The sequence below is a fragment of the Homo sapiens genome, chromosome 5 (genome assembly GCF_000001405.40).
Source record: "Homo sapiens chromosome 5, GRCh38.p14 Primary Assembly".
NCBI lineage: Eukaryota > Metazoa > Chordata > Mammalia > Primates > Hominidae > Homo > Homo sapiens.
Window position 1 is genome coordinate 176,826,376 of NC_000005.10, and position 20,786 is coordinate 176,847,161.

Sequence of the window (20,786 nt, forward strand, 5' to 3'; positions counted from 1 at the left end):
AGGCAGGCTACTTCCACCCTTCGCAGGCCTCAGCAACCCCAGGATCAAACAGTAACTGGTAAAATGAGCTTAGTCCAACCGATGAAGTTGGACTTTGATGCATATATATTTTTTCTTTCCATTTTTTTAATTCTTCTTTGCCATTTTTTAATCAAGGTGAAATTCACGTAACATAAAATTAACCGTTTTAAGTGCACAATTCATTGGCATTGAGTACATTCACAATGTTATGCGACCATCACTTCTATCTAGTTTCCAAACTTTTTTTTTTTTTTTTTTTTTTTTGAGACAGTCTTGCTCTGTTGCCCAGGCTGGAGTGCAGTGGCACGATCTCGGCTCTCTGCAAGCTCCATCTCCCGGGTTCACGCCATTCTCCTGCCTCAGCCTCCCGAGTAGCTGGGACTACAGGCGCCCGCCACCATGCCCAGCTATTTTTTGTATTTTTGGTAGAGACGGGATTTCACTGTGTTTGCCAGGATGGTCTCTATCTCCTGACCTCGTGATCTGCCCGTCTCGGCCTCCCAAAGTGCTGGGAATACAGGCGTGAGCCACCGCGCCCGGCCCAAACATTTTCATCAGAACAAAGGAGACCCCATTAAGCAGTCACTCCCCATTCTCCCCTTGCCCCAGCCCCTGGCAAACAGCAACTTGCTTTCTGTCTCTACGGACTTGTCTATTATGATATTTCATGTAAATGGAATCATGTAATTTGTGGTCCTCTGTGCCTGGCCTCTTTCGCTTAGCATAATGTGCTCCAGGTTCATCCGTGTTGTAGCATGAAAGCATGCATCACTGCTTCATTCCTTTTTTTTTTTTTTTTTTTTTGAGACAGAGCCTTACTCTGTCGCCCAGGCTGGAGTGCAGTGGCACAATATTGGCTCACTGCAACCTCCGCCTCCCAGGTTCAAGCGATTCTCCTGCCTCAGCCTCCCGAGTAGCTGGGATTACAGGCATGCACCACCACGCCCAGCCAATTTTTGTATTTTTAGTAGGGACGGGGTTTCACCATGTTGGCCAGGCTGATCTCAAACTCTTGACCTCAAATAATCCACCCACCTCGGCCTCCCAAAGTGCTGGGATTACAGGTGTGAGCCACCATGCCCAGCCTTCATTCCTTTTTGTGGTTAAATAATATTTCATTGTATGGATGGACCACATTTGGTTTATCCATTCACCCATTGGTAGACATTTGGGTCGTTTCTACCTTTTGGCGACTGAATAAGCTGTTTTGAACATTTGGGTACAAGTATCTGTTTAAAGACCTGTTTTCAGTTCTGTTGGGCATACACCTAGGAGTGGAATTGCTGGGTCATACGGTAACTATGTTGAACTTCCTGAGGAACTGCCAAACTATTTTCCTTAACAACTGCACCATTTTACATTCTCACTAGCAATAACGAGGGTTCCAGTTTCTCCATGTCCTGATTCTTATATTTGAAGTGTTAAATTCTTGCAAACATTTTTCTCATGTCTTGGTGCTCCTGCTTTGCTGGTGCCTGAATCTGTGCGTGGCCACCAGGTTAGCCTGGTGTAGGTCTCGTGGTTCAAGATTGGCAACAGAGGACCGGAGAGGAGACCAAGCAGCTGGGAGCCCCCAGAGGTGCAGCTAGCTGTAGGGTCAGAGCGGGTCTGGGCCTCTCTCAGCCCTCTCGGACCCTGTGGACCCTGTTTCCCTCTGCAAGCCCCCTTTTGTCCTCCTTCCCCCTCCTCCACACCCACCCCCAGCCAGGAGCTGCCCTCTCTGCCCCTCTGTGCTGCCGTTTTGTGTGTGTGTCTTGTCACCAGGATAAATGCGGCTACAAACAATGCGGCAGGCTGGGTGCTAATTTGTCAGACGCAGTGCGCGGCTGTGATTCCGAATACATTAACATTTTCACATGAAATCATTTCAATTTTTAGTGATTAAGAGGTATTTGTTTTAAAGCATCAGGGTGATTTGCTGCAGACCTGGGGGGCAGTGGGGGTGAGGGAGCCCCGAGTGTGATGTCACTCATGGCATCAGTGTGGGGAGTCACCACTCCACACCCACCTGTGCCCACCCTGCGCTTCCTGGGCATGGGGCTGGAGGTGGCAGGACCAGGGAGTAGGAATCAGGGGACCCAAGAGTCCCTTGAGGGCACGGAGGCCCAGAAGCCTCAGCCCCCCCATCTTCCCCTGGCTTCCCTGGGTTGTTTGGCCTCACTCAAATATCGCCTCCTCAGCGAGGTTCCCCCTGGGCCTCCAACCTCAAGTAGCAGCCTGTCACTCTCTGCTTTAGCTTCTTCATGGCGTTTATCCACATTGGAGATGACTTTCTTGACTTACTTACTTGTTTATGTTCTGTACCACCCCCAGTTAAAACACACGCTTCTTGAGGGCAGGGACTATGGCCTGCTCATGCTCACTGCTCGTTCATGGATGGATGGATGGGTGATTGGATGGCTGGGTGGATGGGTGGATGGGTGGATGGGTGGAGGTATGAAAGATGGATGGGGGCTGGGCGCGGTGGCTCATGCCTGTAATTCCAGCACTTTGGGAGGCCGAGGTGGGCGGACCACAAGGTCAAGAGTTCGAGACCAGCCTGACCAACATGGTAAAACCCCATCTCTACTAAAAATACAAAAATTAGACAGGTGTGGTGGTGCGCCTGTAATTCCAGCCACTCAGGAGGCTGAGGCAGGAGAATCAATTGAACTGAACCTGGGAGGCTGACATTGCAGTGAGCGGAGATCGCGCTGCTGCACTCCAGCCTGGGCAACAGAGCGAGACTCCATCTCAAAAAAAAAAAAAAAAAGAAAGAAAGATGGATGGATGGATGGATGGATGGATGGATGGATGGATGGATGGATGGTTGGATGGATGGGTGGATGTATGAAAGATGGATGGATGGATGGATGGGTGGATGGATGGGTGGCTGGATGGATGGATGGATAAAGTGGGTGGATGGGTGGATGGATGAATGGATGTATGAAATATGGATGGATGGATGGATGGATGGATGGATGGATGGATGGATAAAGTGGGTGGATGGGTGGATGGATGGGTGGATGTATGAAAGATGAATGGATGGATGGATGGATGGATGGATGGATAAAGTGGGTGGATGGTTGGGTGGGTGGGTGGATGGTTGGGTGGGTGGATGGATGGATAAAGTGGGTGGATGGGTGGATGGATGGGTGGTTGGATGGATGGGTGGACGTATGAAAGATGGATGGATGGATGGATGGATAAAGTAGGTGGATGGATGGGTGGGTGGATGGGTGGGAGGTGGATGGATGGGTAGATAGACAAGTAGATATATGGATGGATGGATCAATGGGAGGGAAGGTGGATGATTGTTCACGGGGCACAGAAGACTCCCTTGCCATATTGGGCATCCTATCATCCCTGAATCAGTCCCTCAAGTCCCCAGGCAGGCCACCTTGGGTGTGCCAGGCTTCTCTACACCTGGGAAGTACAAGTTCATTACCACGGGGCTGGTTCATTACCACAGGCCTCCAACCCTCTCACTTCCACATCACTGCTCCTTTTTTTTTTTGAGATGGAATCTTGTTCTGTCTCCCACACTGGAGTACAGTGGCGTGATCTCGGCTCACTGCAACCTCCACCTCTCTGGTTCAAGCAATTCTCCCACCTTGGCCTCCCGAGTAGCTGGGATTAAAGGGGTGTGCCACCATGCCCAGCTAATTTTTGTATTTTTAATAGAGATGGGGTTTTGCCATGTTGGACAGGCTAGTCACAAAACTTTTACTCTTTAAAGCCTGTCCCTGTCACCTTCCTCTCTGGGTGCCATGAGAACCGCTCTAAGGGGCTCCCTAGGCCTTCAGACAGACCACCTCCGCCAGGTCTCAGCTGTTGCCAGTCGTCTTGGCTGGGGACCCTCTACTCCCTTCCCAGGAGCTCCCAAGCAGGGTGGCCCTCTCCAGAGCAGCTCACAGTGCGCTAAAGCCTGGGCTGGAGGATGTGCCTCCATGGGGCATGGGTGCGGTGTGCGCCTGCTTGTATGCTGGCATGTGTGTGTGTGTTGTGCGTGTGTGTGCTGGTGTGTGTGTGCCAGTGCGTGTGTGTGCTGCTGTGTGCTGGCATGTGTGTGTGTGTGTTGTGCGTGTGTGTGTGCTGGTGTGTGTGTGCCGGCGTATGTGTGTGCTGCTGTGTGCTGGCATGTGTGTGTGTGGGTGTTGGTGTGTGTGCATGTGCATGTGTCCTGGTGTGTGTGTGTGTGTGTGCGCGTGCTGGTGTGTGCATGCTGGTGTGTGTGTGCGCTGGCGTGTGTGTGTGTGCGCTGGCGTGTGCATTTGTGTGTGTGTGCTGGTGTGTGTGGGAGTGTGTGCTGGCATGTGTGTGCACTGGCGCGTGTGTGTGCTGGCATGTATGTGTGGGTGTGCTGGTGTGTGTGCGCTGGCGTGTGTGTAGGTGTGTGTGTACTGGCGTGTGTGTGCTGGCATGTGTGTGTGCGTGTGTGTGCGCTGGCATGTATGTGCTGGCATGTGTGTGTGCTGGCGTGTGTGTGTGCGCTGGTGTGTGTGTGGGTGTATGTGCTGGCGTGTGTGTATGTGCCGGCGTGTGTGTGGGTGTGTGTGTGCTGGCCTGTGTGTATGTGCCGGCGTGTGTGTGTGCTGGTGTGTGTGTGTGTGAGATGGGAGGTGATCAGGCCTTTGCCCAGTTCCTGCAGCCTCGCTCTGTGGTGGCCACACAGAAGCCCGTTCCTCATCCTTCTGTTGCCCCACCCCCCACCTCCGTGCCTCGGGTCAAACCCCTCCCTCACCTACCCCAGTGAAAGGAAAATAACTAGAAGCTTTTATCGTTCTGCAGAAGCAACATCAGAAAACAATTATTGTTTTAATTACCTGCTGTCGCCATACAAGACAGGGAGGTTGTAAAGTGTGATAAAATCTTTCATGTTAATGGACTGCCAGCCCGGGCCAGGGCTCGATTTATGGGGCTGCAGCTGGTAACTCCAGGCAGCTGTATGGAACCCCCAGGGCCCCTCTCCCTGTCCCTGGGGCCAGGGCTCCAATGCCAGGGACCTGGCACCCCTTTTGTTCATCACATTTTACCCAACACAGCGGGGATACTGGCCTTCTCTGCGCAGGAATGCTCAAGGCCAGCACGCATCCAGGTGTGACCTGGGGGCTCCATTCCTTAGGAAGGCAAGCCTTGGGCTGGCCCCTCTTTCTGCCCCATGGAAGGGGCCTAGCCGTGGGCTGGGCTGGTTTTCCCTGACAGGCCCTCTCGCCACCACTCGGCTCTGCTGTGCACCACCTTGGACCCTCCTGCAGTGCCCAGAGCGGGGCTTCCCCATAAGCACAGTGACCTCACACCTGTCTCCTCGTCTCCTGCCCACCTCCACCTCCCAGAGCTGACCCCTGGCCGCTGCTTCCTGACTGAAGTCCTCATCTGTCTGCTCTCAACCCACCCATCCCCACTGCTGTACCCACCATCTTCCCAAAGCCCACTCAAGCTGGTCCCTCCTCAGGTACCAACCTTATTTTCTCCTAAGCACTTTCACTTTCACACACTTTCTCTCTCTCTTTTTTTTTTTTTTTTTTTTTTTTTTTTTGAGACAGAGTCTCACTCTGTTGCCCAGGCTGGAGTGCTGTGGTGCAATCTCGGCTCTCTGCAACCTCCACCTACCTGGCTCAAGTGATTCTCATGCCTCATCCTCCCGAGTAGCTGGGACTACAGGTGCCTGCAACCACGCCTGGCTAATTTTTGTATTTTTATTAGAGACGGGGTTTCACCATGTCGGCCAGGCTGGTCTCGAACTCCTGACTTCAGGTGATCCACCCAGCTCAGCCTCCCAAAGTGCTGGGATTGCAGGCGTGCGCCACCATGCCTGGCCTCACACTTTCTCACTGAAGCCTCAATGCAGAGTTTGGAGGAGGTGCCGTTATTATGCTCCCGTTTTAGAGATGCAGTAAATGAGCTGTGGAGAAGTCAGGTGTTTGGCTGGCAGTCTGATTTCACAGGGCTGGAGTGAGGACTTAATGGGGTGACAGTTGTGAAATGCTTAGGACAATGGCAGGAGCAAAGTCCACGCCTGATCCAAGCTAGCTCTCGTAGTAATTCTTTTTGCTTCTATTGCTGTTCACCCTGGAGCAAGTCACTTATCTGCTTGAATCATGCCTCACTTTCCACATCTGAAGGATGGGGACAGCAGTCACCTAGCCTCTAGGATGAGAGGATCAGAGAAGGCCCTGTGTGGTGTGTGGTGAGAACACAGGACCCCTCAGCTGCCGCTGCTGCTATGACCATGTAATGGTGGAGGAAGCTCAGGTTGGGAAGCTAAGTTGGGTCCACCTTATACAAGGCCCTTCATGGCACACCAAGGGGTGTTGAGCCATTCTAGGGATGGTAGGGAGCTGCTGAAGATTTTCAATCAGGAAAGCAGTGGACTCAGATCTGAGTTTTAGAAGGATGGCAGTGGCAAGCTGAAGCTGGTTGGGCAAGAGGGAGCCGTTGGTACTCGAGTGATCTCCAAATGAGGACTCCAGATGATCTCCAGATGAGTCCTCCAAATGAGGACTGACGAGGCCATGACAGGCAGAGGTGGAGGCAGGGACAGAACTGGATGGCCAGGGCTTGGTCAGCCCTTGGGCAGAGGAGGAACGAAAGGAGGCTCATGCCTTCTTAAATCCTCCATTCCCTCCCCAGTGCCACACACAGGACTGGCACGTGTGGTAGCCACTCTCAAACCCAGGATGCAGGTAGCTGGCCAAGGTCAGGAAACAGCAAGACCCTCTCAGGCCGAGGCCAAGTTGGAGTTGAGAGGAACCCAACTCAGAATCTTTTTTTCCTTCCAACTTTTACTTTAGGTTCAAGGTGGTGCGTGTGCAGGATTGTTACATGGGTGCATTGTGTGTGCTGGGGTTTGGCATACAAGTGATTTAGTCGCCTAGGTAGTGAGGACAGTGCCTGATGGGTAGTTTTTCCGTCCTCACCCTCCTCCCACCCTCCACCCTCAAGTAAGCCCTGTGTCTGTTGTTTCCCTCTGTGTGTCCATGTGTACTCAATATTTAGCTCCCACTTAAGTGAGAACATGGTTTTCTCTTCCGGCATTAATTCACTTAGGATAATGGCCTCCGGCTGCATCCATGTGGAGCAAAGGACATGATTTCATTCTTTTTTATGGCTGTTTAGTATTCCATGGTATATATGTACCACATGTTCTTTATCCAGTCCACGCCAGCCCACAATCTTTAGGCCATGGCCTGGGACTCAGGTGGGGCCTCCCTAGGCACCTGCAGGACCCCAGCTTCCTCTCCCTGACAGGTTCAAGCATAGCCCATGAGTCTCTGCCCTTTGTGGCTGCACTCATTAGCTCAGTCACACAGCCTCTTTTTTTATCTTTTTTCTTTCTTTTTTTTTTTTTTGAGACGGAGTCTTGCTCTGTCGCCAGGCTGGAGTGCAGTGGTGCGGTCTCCGCTCACTGCAAGCTCCACCTCCTGGGTTCGCGCCATTTTCCTGCCTCAGCCTCCCGAGTAGCTGGGACTACAGGCGCCCACCACTACGCCCAGCTCATTTTTGTATTAGTAGAGACGGGGTTTCACCATGTTAGCCAGGATGATCTCAAACTCCTGACTTCATGATCTGCCCGCCTCGGCCTCCCAAAGTGCTGGGATTACAGGTGTGAGCCACCGCACCCGGCCCAGTCACACAGCCTCTTATTCTCTCATTCATCAACTTAGGTCTTCAGTAAATGTTTGTGGAGTGCCGCATCTGTGCTGGGCTCTAAGCTGGCACTGGGGAGGTGGAGCACCGCGGAGCTGTGTGTGTGACCTCCAGGAGCTGATACTCCAGTGGAGGGGATGCAGTGCACCAGTGAACCAATGAAGAAATTAAATAATTACACACTGCCGGGAGTATGGAAGAGAACAAAGGAGCTGAGACAGGGCCCCCTGCCCGTCCCTGTCCTGTCTGCACAGGAGAAGTGGCTCCCAGTTCCCCAGCCCTACCGAGATGCATGGTTGGCATTAGCCGCCCAGCTGGACCGATCTGTCTCCCTGTCTTCCCGGGATTACTTCCCCCATTTTGGCCATCACTTCTGAACTCTAATTTATTCCCCAGGGCCCAGGAGGGGCCATTCATTTAAAGAGTTTTCTATGGAGCATTCTCCTGTGAGGACCCTAAGGGGAAGAAAAATGCCAGGAAAGGACGAAAAAGAGAATAAGAGGGATCTGGTTTCAGAACTCCCAGGCAGCAGGACAGATGTGGAAGGAGCAGGGCTCTGTTTGCCGAGAGACATATTTACCTAGTGGCACAAGTGCCCTCCTACCTCCCTCTACTCTCTGCAGGTTCCCACGTCCCGTCTTCTCTCTCTCTCTCTCTCTCTCTCTCTCTCTCTCTCTCTGTCTCTCTGTCTCTCTCTCCCTCCTCTCCCTCTCCCTCTCCCTCTCTCTCTCCCTTTCCCTGGGTCGCTGCAGGAGTCTGAGCCTGCCCCACCTCCCAGGGAGAAGCTGTCTCCTGGTGCTAGGAGATGGTGTCCCTGATTACAACTCAATCTGCCACTGTCCCTCTCCCTTCCCTCCCAGTTCTTAGAGGAGCAACGTGTGCACTGTCGGCTCCTGCAGGGACCAGCCTCACTCTTCTTATCCCCATAGCTGGGCCAGAGGAGCTGGCAGGCTGGGCCCATCCTGTGCCAGGTGGCTGTGGGAGACACATGCCTGAGTGCAGCCACAAGCTCCATGAAAGCATTCAGAAACTCCTGGCACTGTGGGCAACCCCTGCACTCTGCAGGCAGCGAGGCCAGGGAGAGAGGTGGCCTCAGGGTGGCTTCTTAAAGTGCCATGTGTTCTCACATCCCATCAGCCTGGGAATGGGGCCTCCGGCCAGGGGCTGGCTTGTACACCTGGAGGTGAACATTGGCACTGGTGTGACTGAGGAGATATATGCCCATGGGTGAAGGTGACCTTCCTGCAGGCTCGGAAAGCAGGCCCTGGGGGCTCAGGGCCACCTGCCAGGCCTGCCTCTGTCTAAGTCTGAACAGAGGCCGCTTGCCCAGTCCAGTGTGTGTGTCTCCCAGGAAGGTTCCCAGAGGGGGCCTGCCTGTGGCTGGGAGAAATCCCCATCCCGGATTCTGTAACCATCCTGTCCAAATTTCAGGAAATTCCCTGATTCCTTCCCAACAGTTCCAGATGCTCCAGAGCCTCCGACTCATCGCTCCCTGTGCTGGCATTTTCCTGCCTGGCTCCGGCCCCTTCCCGCCTGTCAAACACATGAAACCAATGGGCCCTTCAAAGGGTAGCTCCAAATCCCTCCCCAGCGTGCAGGTGTGCCAGTGAGGAAGAAGTGTGGGCGTGGGTGTGAACTCTTGTGCACCTGAGCATGAGTGTAGAGGTACCAGCATCTGTGCAAATGGATGCCTTTGATAAAGGATGTGTGTGTGTGTGTGTGTGTGTGTGTGTGTGTCCTGAAATGATGTGCACATCCTAAGTATTCTGGGGTGTAGGTCTCCTGTCTAAGTGTCTTAACAGATTCATCTGGAATTTGAAGCAACTGTTTTCTCATTGATAAGGAGCTGACAAAGAAATGAAACAAAAGGCCTGGATGAATAAACAGTCTTCTGGATAGAGAAGTGGAAGATGTGAGCTCAGGCAAGAATTGGAGCTAATCTTTTTTAACATTTAAATAAAAGATCTGGAAGAGGATGTGTATAGTGAAATCACCAAGTTTGCAGTTAAATCGAAACTCTCCTGGGTGGTAGTAAAATGCCAGACTGGTGAGGGATGAGCTTTAGGAAGATCTTATCTAGAAAGGCAGTGAGCTGGACAGAGAATGGCCAGCAGGCTTTAGTCTGGGGAGAATGATATGGACGAAGTCTGGGGGAAGGCAGCTTTCCTAAGGCAGGGCCCAGGAGGGCAACAGCAGGCTGGACATGATGCGAAGGGGAGATTGCAGCAAGCCATAGATGTTCTTCTCCCAACAGGTGAGTGAGGGATGCCAGTACCCAACCATCCAGCATGCTTGTGGTCACGCCTCCTCAGGGGAGCCCAGCCCGAGATGGGGCAGAACTGGATTGTATTACAGACTTATATGATCTGCATAATTCATTTCCCTCAATTTGCACATCTGTGAAATGGAAGTAGCGATCCCTGGGGGCCTGCTCCACAGGGGAGCGACAGCAGCTGAGATCTCACAGAGACGACAGTGTGTAGGCACCTGTAAAGTTCAGTGCCACCGTGAGTGGTTATGGAAAGAGTTGCGATGAGAAGGGAGCTGCCATAGAAAATCAGACTGGCCCACCTGGGACAGCCTCAATCAGAGAGAGGCCAAGAGGGAGTGTGGCAGAGATCTAGGAAATCAGAAAGGGCTCGGAGAAGGGAGCTTGGGCTCCTTCACTATGCCCCAGCCTGACAGAGCGAACCGCTCCCCCAGCCCCCAGCAAAGCTCAGGAGAGGTATGTTTAAAACCAATCACAGGAAATCCTGCTGCACTCAGCAGGGAATAAACTTTGAAAATCATTTCCCCTAGAGGTGATACAGGCTGGAAATATAAATTGCTTCCAGAAAGGTTTAGATAAGTTCATGGATGGCAGAGCCAAACTAGTTCTTGGGCAAAATTAGAACGTTAGGAGGCATCTTCCTCTCTGATGTCAGAGGAAGTCCCTGCCAGAGCCAGCGCACAGGCCAGACGGAACAACCTGATACCCCGTCTCTGTGTATGTGTGAGTCTGCATTTAGGAACAACTTGTCCCTGTCTGACGAGGGTGCCTTCCCTCTCACCAGACTCACTGTGCCGTGAAATTGCCTTTCCTCCCTCCCCAGTCCCTCACCCCCATTGCTGCTCCCATAGCCCCTTTAAACTCCATGCTGTGGAGTTCCCCAGCCCCACTCCCATACCTCACTCTCACAGTGCCAACTTCTGTCTCCAGCTTGCCCCTGCCATCTCATCTGCCATCACAGAGCAGCCACCCCTCCCTCTGTGTACTGTCTTCTAGCACAGGCACCTTGCCTGGCAGTGCCCATGAGCCGGTGAGGACAGGAGCCTCTTGCCAGGCCCTCCAGTGAATGCTGTTGGCTTGCAGCCTCTCTCTCCGGCTGACTTCCCAGAGCCCTACTCTGCCTGGCTGCTTCTCCCAGGGTCCCTAGCAGAGGCCGGCTGAATAGGAGCTGACGTATGAGCCCTTCAGGGACCCACACCCTGGAGAACTTGGGTACCCGAGGCCAGATGGATATCCACACCAGGGACAGGGTCACCATCAGGAAATAGGCACGCTTGGGTGTGTGCCAGGTTATCTGATGCGTGCAGAAGGTCTTCAGGGAATGGGATTAGCAAGGGAGGCAAGGTTATGGAGTATGCTTTCCCGCCGCTGTTCCTAAGATGCCTTGGGCCCTTTCCAAGCTGCCATGGATGGGCTGTGTAGCTAGCTGGGAACTCTGTTTTAGCACCACAGATAGCGGTCCTGGACATGGCACACTTTCAGCACCGTGGACAGCCCCAGGCGCTCCACAGATAGCGGTCCTGGACGTGGCACGCTTTCAGCACCGTGGACAGCCCCAGGCGCTCCACAGAGGCTGTCCCTCTGCGGACTCGGCTTCCTAACCTCCGGACTCTGCTTCCTAACCCCACCACCACCTCTAGAGACCTCTAGAGAATTCATTTATCCATCCGCAGAAATTAATTGAGCACATATACATCCAGTCACTGTTGTGCAAGAGTACACTACTGAACGGAATAGTCAAAAACTTGCCCTTTGGAGCCTCCATTCTTTGTGGTGGGGACTCCCACCCCATAGGCTTCCGTTGAAATTCCCGGAACTCGTTCCAGGCAAAGTGGCCCTGCAGGTCATGAAGTGTGAACAATTTATTATTTCTTGCAAACCTGATTCTACTGCTTAACTCTGGGGGGAAGGAGCTGGAGAGGTGGGAAGTAGGGATTGGTGAGGCCTAATTCAGATGGTATTTTAGGATTTTAGGAAGCCACTCCCCTGCTAAAAAGCCTGTGATGGTTCCCCAATGCCTATAGAAATAAATAGTAGTTCCCCAACCTGTCATTCAAGTCCCATGGTAAAATGTTCCTGATCTGTCTTCCCAGTCTTGTCTTCTTACCTCTCCTCATGTTTCCTTCACTCCAGCCAAACTGGATTCTCAGTTAACAATCTTTTGGTTGCAGTATGAAAGAAAACTCGACTCACACAGACTTAAACACATTTACTAAGTGGATGTTATTGACTTGCAACTGAAAATCCCAAAGGTACAGCTGACTTCAGGCAAAGCCTGATGCGCTGGCTCAGACAACAGCACTCTGGAGCTACCCTGCTCGCTGTTCTGCTCTGTCTTCCCTGGTGTTGGCCATATCCTCGGCTTCCCCAGGGCATCCCCTAACATCTCTACACTCTCCCTGTCTTGGTACTGGGATGACTGCAGCAGCACAGCCCTCACATCCTCACCCCACACCTTCCAGGGGAAAGATGCCTCCTCTCTTGAAAAGCCCTGGGGAATGTCTCCTGGGACCTCAGTGGCTGGCCCACATGCCCATCTCAAACCAATCACCAGAGCCAGGGCAGGAGATAGCATTGGTTTAAGCCAATCAGGGTCCATCCCTGAAGCTGGTAGGGGTCATTTCCACTCAAACCACATAGCTTACTATGGAACAAGAGTGGATCTCCAAAGAAAATGGGGCTGTTATTTTGGGAAAAGAGGAGCTGGAGCTGGGAAAGCAGTCAGCAGGTGTCCAGTCATGGAGTGTGTTCTCCTGCCTCTGTGCGTTTGCACCTGCAGGTCTCTGCCTGACCTGCCCTCTCCTATCATCCCAGCTACTGATGCCCTGTGCCACCTTCCAGGCCCCTCTCAAAGGCGACTGCCTCCCTTACCCCACTCCTGTCACTTCCATCATGTCCACCTTCTCTGACCCCTCACAGCACCTAGCACATGCTCTTTGTCCTGAGGGGATACTGAAGGGGATAAGTGGATTAGCTGGGAGCAGGTAGGGGGGCCAAGGCCACTCAGCCATGAGCACATCGGAAGAAGATGAACTGAAAGCCAGGAAACCTAGAGCTCTGTGGCAGCAAGGTCCCTGATCCGCAGGCAGTGAGGAGAGTGGACATGCCTCCCAGGGCCCATGTGCAGGAGCCTGGTGATGGATGGCTGCTGTCACGTTGGCTTCGTGGGGTGGGATATCAGCATCGTTGAGCCCAGGCAGGCCAGGAGGGCCGCTGTCTGGACAGTCTCAGGCTGTCCCTGGTGCCCAGGTCACATGGCCTAGGCTGTCTCCTGCCCTCACTCCTAGTAAAGGGTTGGACTTCCCTGGTTTGTGGGTAAGATCCTTGCCCCTGAAACTGCCCTGGCAGGGCCCGTGGCAGGAAGGCTGAGGATGTGCAGGGAGTGGGTGATCTGGCCTGAGTGGAGGCGCTCTGGGGAGGGCCTGGGGGTCCTGGGACAGCAGATACCGCAAGCGAAGACAGAAGCAAGCAGCACCTGGACTCCTTTCCCACTGTGGCTTCACGGCCACTTCCTTTTTTTTTTTTTTTTTTTTTTTTTTCTTGACAGAGTCTCACTCTGTCGCCCAGGCTGGAATGCAGTGGTAAGATCTCAGCTCACTGCAGCCTCCACCTCCTGGGTTCAGGCAATTCTGCTGCCTCAGCCTTGCTTGTGGTCCAGGCTTGTGGTCTACTGCCTCAGCCTCCTGAGTAGCTGGGACTACAGGTGCGCACGCCACCACGCCCTGCTAATTTTTGTATTTTTAGTAGAGATGGAATTTCACCATGTTGGCCAGGCTAGTCTTGAACTCCTGACCTCAAGCAGTCAGCGCACCTCGGCCTCCCAAAGTGCTGGGATTACAGGCGTGAGCCACCGCGCCTGGCCTCTTCATTAAAGTGTGAACCTTCTTCACGCCTTGCTGGCGTTGGCCCAGGTTGTGGGGACTAGGACGTGGTTGGGGAGAGCAGGGGCTTGTAAGGAACCCGCTGGGCCTGAGGGAGAGGAGACTGGAGCAGAGTGTCAGAGAGAGGAGGGAAGGAACTCCGAGGCATGGGGGCCCGCTGTGAGGGTGCAGGGACAGGCTGGGCTGTGAGTCGGGGGAGGGGCTGGGCGGCAGAGCCATTATTCATTCCCACCAGCCCGCAGCTTCCTAAATGAGATAACACTCACATCAGCACTTTTCTCTTTTGTGCTCCTGTTTTAATAACACGTTGGGCTCTGCAAGGGGGTGACCACATCTCTATCTCTTCATCTCTTTCTGCCTTTGAGAGAACCCTCACCCTGTCTAGGATCCATTGGTCCGGAGCAGAGCTCAGAGTGGCAGAGGGCTCATGTGAGGGCCGGGGACCCTCCCTCTGCAGATGCACTTCCCAGAGGGAGCAAGTGGGCAGGACAAAAGGGGGCCTCTCCCCCCCTGGCCCAGGCGTCCCTGGTGCCCATCTTCTAACTCCACAACCAAGAGGACTTACAAAGTCCAGGCCAGCTTCAGAGAAATCTCATTCTGCAGTGGGACAAACGGGACCAGACGACAGGGAGACCTGCCCCCATGAGCCCACGCTGACAGCCCTGGAAAGGGCTTCTGTGCCACCCTGCCCCGCCTTTGTTATGGGTCCCCCCACAACGCTTGAGCAGCACAGAGAGCTGCTGGCAGTGGGGTGGCCTGGATGGAGCTTCCATTTGATCCCCAAACTCTGGGTGTCTGGGCAAAGGTTTCCCCACTGGAAAACCATCCACCTCCTTCACCGGAGAAGGGGGATGAACCACTCCGCGCTGAATGGAGGCAGCGTGACTTGGTCATGCATTGAAAGCTGTGGCAGGCAACGGGAGTGTCAGAAACTGTTCTCATCTCTTCAGCTAAACTTGTAAGGTCAGGGGGTCAGGACCACATGGTAATGATCACGAGCTAAAGTTGCAGGGGGCACCAGATGTCTGTTCTAATTTATTTCCTTTGAGCCACAGAGCTGCTCAGTGACACAGGTGATTGTGGGTGCCGTTTGCAGACAGAGCTGTGCCAGAGTGAGCCAGCCAGAGGTGAAGCGGGGACTCAGACTCAGCTCCCAGCTTCCAGATCAGAGCTGTGCCCACCACCCCAGAGCTGCACCCAGGGCTGAGCCTAGAAGAGCTGTGAGATGCAGCATAGCAGGGGACTTGGGGCACAGACTGTGGAACCGGGCTGCCTGGCTGTCCCATGTGCAGCAGTGTGGCTGTGGACATGTTATTGATTGAATGTCTCTGAGCCTCAGTTTGTCACCTGTAAAATGAGAATCTTGGTAGCACCTAATTCGTAACGTTGCTGTGAGGATGAAATGAGAAGTTCTCTACAAATGTACATAGCACAAACCACAAAGATAAAAGTTCCTATCAAATTAAACATGTGCTTACCATATGCCCCAGCAATCCCTCTCTCTAGAGAAGTCCCACTCCCAAGAGAAGTAAAGATATATGTCCACCAAAGACCTGTCTGTGAAAGCTCTTAGCAGATTTACTGAAAATCATCAAAATCTCACTTCTGAAAAGAAGGTATACAAATGGCCAACAATCATGAAAAAAGGCTCGACATCACTAATGATCAGGGAAATGCAAGTCAAAACCACAATGCGATACCACCTTACTCCTGCAAGAATGGCCATAATCAAAAAATCAAGGCCGGGTGCGGTGGCTCACGCCGGTAATCCCAGCACTTTGGGAGGCCGAGGTGGGCGGATCACGAGGTCAGGAGATCGAGACCATCCTGGCTAACATGGTGAAACCCCGTTTCTACTAAAAATACAAAAAATTAGCCGGGCGCGGTGGCGGGTGCCTGTAGTCCCAGCTACTCGGGAGGCTGAGGCAGGAGAATGGCGTGAACCCGGGAGGCGGAGTTTGCAGTGAGCCGAGATCGCACCACTGCACTCCAGCCTGGATGATAGAGCGAGACTCCGTCTCAAAACAAAACAAAATCAAAAAACAGTAGATGTTGGCATGGATGTGGTGATCAGGGAACACTTCTACACTGCTGGTGGGAATGTAAACTAGTACAGCCACTATGGAAGACAGTGTGGAGATTCCTTAAAGAGCTACCCTTTAATCCAGGAATGCCACTACTGGGATTCTTCCAGAGGAAAAGAAGTTATTATACAGAAAAGATGCTTGCACACACATGTTTATAGCAGCACAATTCACAATTGCACAGTCGTGGAACCAACTCAAATGCCCGTCAATCAACAAATGGAGAAACTGTGATATATATATATATATATGATGGAATACTACTCAGCCATAAAAAGGAATGAATTAACAGCATTTGCAGTGACCTGGATGAGACTGGAGACTATAAGTGAAGGAACTCAGGAATGGAAAACCAAACATTGTATGTCCCCACTGACATGTGGGAGCTAAGCTATGAGGACGCAAAGGCAAAAGAATGATACAATGGACTTTGGGGACTTGTGTGGAAGAGTGGGAAGGGGTGAGGGATAAAAGACTACAAATAGGGTATAGTGTATACTGCTCGGGTGATGGGTGCACCAAAATCTCACAGATCACCTCTAAAGAACTTACGTAACCGAATACCACCTGTTCCCCAATCACTTATGGAAAAATAATTTTTATTTTTTTTTTACAAAAAGGGCTAGGCACTGTGGCTCACACCTGTAATCCCAACACTTTGGGAGGCCGAGGTGGGTGGATCACCTGGGGTCAGGAGTTTGAGACAAGCCTGGCCAACATGGCAAACCCTGTCTCTACTAAAAATACAAAAATTAGCCAGGTGTGGTGATGGGTGCCTGTAATCCCAGCTACTCAGGAGGCTGAGGCAGGAGAATCACTTGAACCCAGGAGGCAGTGGTTGCAGTGAGCCGAGATCGCGTCATTGCACTCCAGCCTGGGCGGTAAGAGTGAAACTCTGTCTCAAAAAAAAAAAAAAGAAAGAAAGAAAGAAAGAAAAAAAGAAAAGAAAATCATCAAAATGTGGAAACAGCCCAGGTGAGGGGACAGATGCTGTGGTGCGTCCACACGGTGGGGCACTGCCCAGCAGGGGAAGGACGCTGCCGTGGGTTCAGGCCACTCAGAGGGACTCTAAAGTACTGTGTACCGCTAAAGAAGCCAGACACGAAGGACTCCATTCTGCATGATCCCATTGCGGTGACATTCTAGAAATGGCAAAACGCCAGTGACAGAAAGCAGAAGGGGGTTGGGAGGGGGGATTGGTGCAAAGGGGCTGGCGGGAACTTTAGGGGGTGAAGCTATTCTGTGTCTTGATGCTGGTGGTGGATACATTTGTCCAAATTCATCAGGCTGTAGATTTAATGGGGATAAACATTATTTTATGCTTTAAGAAAAACCCAGATTTTTGAAAAGCAGAGCCGGGGTGTAGTAAGTATGGAAGTGCTCGCTGCTCTTATTATTATTAGTGTGACCATTATTATTATCCACGGAAGATTCTCTGGACGGGTGGCTTGTTTGCATCCCTGACCCACCGGGCTGCGCCCTGGAGCCCCCCTGCTCAGGCTGGCCAAGGAGGGCGCCTCTCCTCCCACTCGGCGGCTGGGCCCGGCCGTGGTGTGTGATGGGCCGTCTTGCCCAGCCCTGGCCCCTGGCCCCTGGCCCCTGGCGTTCTGACAGACGTGCGGCGCGTGGGGAGGGCTCTCAGCTGCTCCCTGGAGTCTGCTTTCCTCCCGCTGATCGTGTGAGGCGCTCAGCGACACGTTAGCAAGAAAGATGCCACAAGAAATAAAGTTTGTTATGAATTATTCTACTTGGGGCTAATTATAGGCACAGAGGAGAGGATTATTTACAGAGACAGGAGGCAGGGGACGGGGAGGACGAGGAGGAGGGGCCCTGAGACATGGAAACGAGTGGAGGGCTGGAGAGAGTTCAGCAAACGGGGCTTTTTGAATAAAAGCTGTGACTAAACTCAGGTCCATGCTGATTGTAGCGTCTCAGGGGACAGATCAGAGGCCCCAGGCCTTGCCTGATCCTCAGGACAGAGCTGGAGAGAACACTTGGTCCTGGTATCCCGTGGGCCACCGGGGTTCTCTTGGTGGGTGTGGCACAGCTGAGGAAGCCCCACCGCTGGAGTCCCAGGGTGGAGGTGGGCCCAGATCTGTGCAGGGCCCAGCCTCACTCTGTTCTCCTGGGCCTTCCCTGTGCCAGGGAAGGAGAGGCCAGGGGAAGTTTATGTCCACCCACGGTGTCCCAGCTGAGCGAGAAGGGACACGGGATGATATGAGCTGGCCGTGGGCGCCCACTGCATACAGCAGGTTGGTGAGGGAAGGTCTGATGGGGACTTAGCCGCACTGTGCCACACCGAAATTCACAGCCCACCGTGGCTCGGAGGAGCATGGGCTGGTGTGACCCTGGCTTCCAATTCTTCAACAGGAGGTGGGAAACCATTGTTTCTGTGCAACTTCCTAGTCTTTAAATGCTGCCTTAAACCTCCTACATCACACCCAGGGGTCTGTGGACCACAGTTCACAGCCTCCTATTGTTCCAGTTGGAACAGAGGACTCAGCAGGGCTATGGCCCAATCACTCACCCCGAGACCCCTCTCCACCCTCCAGCACTGCTTGCAGTGGATCGTGGAAGTCGGTCCTCGGTGCCAGCCACAGACTCCCTGCCCAGTGCTCATGACAGACAGCAGCAGTTCCACACTTGGGTCTGCAGCAGGGTGGGTTGGTGGCTCGCAGCTTGCCGGAAAAGCCCCACCTTATCAGAGGGCGGTGGTCTTGCCCTCCCCTGAGAGTGAGCAGTAGGCCAAGGTTTCTCCAGTTATTTCTGCCTGGCTGCACCGCCATCTACTCACGCAACCAGGCAGGAAATGACAGAGGCATCTTCTGCTCCCGCCCTGCCTCCCTCCCCGCCAGGAGAGTCACCCTCCATGCCCTGCCCCGGGGATGTTTTTCATAGCCGTTCCCCCTCTCCAGCAGCCTGTTCCAGGTCAGGCAGCTCCCTGTCCTCCTGTGACGATAGCCTCCACCAGCCCCACGACAGAGCCCTCGCTCCAGAGCTCTCTGACCCCCTCGTCCCTGCTCAAGTCTTCTGCCGCCCCTGCTTCCCCACGCTCAGTGTCCTGGCACGGATCCAAAGCCTGTCTAATCCAGCCCGTGCTGCCACCAGATAGGTCCTGCCTCATATGCTTTGCTTATGCTGTTCATCGGCCTGGAATGACCTTCCCTACCCACCTCCTCTTGGCCCCTGCCCGTTCCCCGAGGCCCTGAGGCAGGGCGTTATGCACTGCACCTGTGCTTGCTGGCTTCCCCTGCTGGACGATGAGTGCCCCACAGACCCTCTGCAGCCCAGGGCTTGGGGCCTGGCACAGAGCAAGCCTTCCAGAAATGTCTGCATTCCCCCATTCTGAAATCTGTACTGCGGTGAGCCAGGCCCTGGTCCAGGTGGATGAAACAGACAGCCCCTCTGCTCCTGGAGCTTCCCCTCTAGTTCCAGGCAGATGGACAACAAAGAGACAAGTCCAGAAGGGCACCCACCAGGGTCACTAGGCACTACAGTGCAACAGGGCACTATTTAGATGGGGAGACAGAGAGGGCCTCCTCAGGGAGGTGCCATGAGCTGAGATTCAGGCGATGAGGAGTGTGCTATGGCATCAGAGGGAACAGCATTCTGGGCAGAGGGAACAGTAGATGCAAAGCCCCTGAAGCAGGACTGAGCAGAGCACCGGGAGAGCCAACAAAGGGCTGGGTGCTGCATGGTGAGTGAAAGGGACAGTGGCCTGTGGCATCTGAAGTGACAGGAGAAAAGGAGGTGGAAGGCCCACATTCAGCAGGTTTCTGGCCAGGTTGGTGGCCATGCTGTTTGCACAGGGAGCTGGTCATCTGGGGTAGCCACATAGGATGGCTGAGGCGAAATGTTCTGCAGTGGCGAGCCTGGAGGTCCTGATGAGGATGGGGGCACTTTCTGCCCTGAGGTCCTCACTGGAGCCTGGCACTCTCCAGGAGAGATGGGAGAGCAGAACAGAGCACAGAGGAGGGAGGAGCCCTGGAGGCTGAGCCAAAAGGAGCATTGGAACCAGAGACAGAGGGGTCTTTTGGCAAATGGCTAGGCGGAGGTGGAAGCCAGGTTGTAGGAGGTGGAGCCAGGAATGGGATTAAGGTGGGTGGGGGGAGCTGAGTAGGGAGGGGGAAAGAGAAAAGGGACCCAGACCAGCAGGGACAAGACAGCAAAGAGTTTAATGAATGGTTTTCTTGTCCATGATGGGGGACAGGTGAGCATCCTTGGAGACCCCTGGGCTATTGAGGCATCTTATACAGCTTGGTGACATCTCCTCCAGGAAGCCCTCCTGGATGCCCCAGATCGGGCCCCCCAGTTATGTGCTCATGCCACCAGCCCTTGTCTGACTGAACTCTGACTTTGGGCGGTAACCTTGGACTTACCACTTGGATGATCTCACCAGTATCTGCCTCCCACAAGTGGGCGGGCTCTAGAGAGGGGCCAGGCCTGGTTTCGACCTGCTTGGTGAATCTAAGCTGCTGCCCAGGACCTGGTCCACAGCCGGTGGTGGGAGAGGCTGAGGACAGCAGGGAGAGCAGCCACAGTCCTGGCGCCGAGGCCCGGAGGGAGCTGGGGCTGCTGGGTGGTGAATTGGCCCAGAAGGAGGTCATGCCGACCTTGAAGCCAGTCGGCCTGTGGGCTGCTCTGAGAGGCTGGAGCGCATCTCAGCAGGGGCGGACGTGCTTGGGAGCAGGATGGACGCAGAGCCGCGCACATGCTCTGCCCTCCCAGAGCTTCCACAGGGAGCGCCCCCGTCAAGCCTAGGAGAGAGCAGCACAGCCCCTTGCCGCCCTCCCATCCCCCTCTCATTCCATTTGTGCCACTCCGATGGGTGCCCCGCTCCCGCCTGGGAGCAGATGAAGGTCTGCCTCACCCCCGTTCGTTGAAGTCGGGCGCCGGCTGATT

General features: G+C 53.7%; 1 protein-coding gene across 5 annotated transcripts in view, besides 2 other annotated features; it reads left to right on the top strand.

The window, feature by feature from the left end:
• Positions 1 to 20,786, top strand: part of UNC5A (unc-5 netrin receptor A) — a 70,340-nt gene that overhangs the window by 15,817 nt on the left and 33,737 nt on the right. The gene's annotated exons all lie outside the window — the stretch shown is intronic.
• Positions 3,827 to 4,783: an enhancer, noted in NCBI's record as "H3K27ac-H3K4me1 hESC enhancer chr5:176257203-176258159 (GRCh37/hg19 assembly coordinates)". NCBI's record gives its function as "activates a minimal SCP1, AML or CMV promoter by ChIP-STARR-seq in naive and primed H9 embryonic stem cells {active_cell/tissue: H9 hESC(naive and primed)}" and the evidence as "EXISTENCE:reporter gene assay evidence [ECO:0000049][PMID:30033119]".
• Positions 18,351 to 19,182: an enhancer, noted in NCBI's record as "H3K4me1 hESC enhancer chr5:176271727-176272558 (GRCh37/hg19 assembly coordinates)". NCBI's record gives its function as "activates a minimal SCP1, AML or CMV promoter by ChIP-STARR-seq in naive H9 embryonic stem cells {active_cell/tissue: H9 hESC(naive)}" and the evidence as "EXISTENCE:reporter gene assay evidence [ECO:0000049][PMID:30033119]".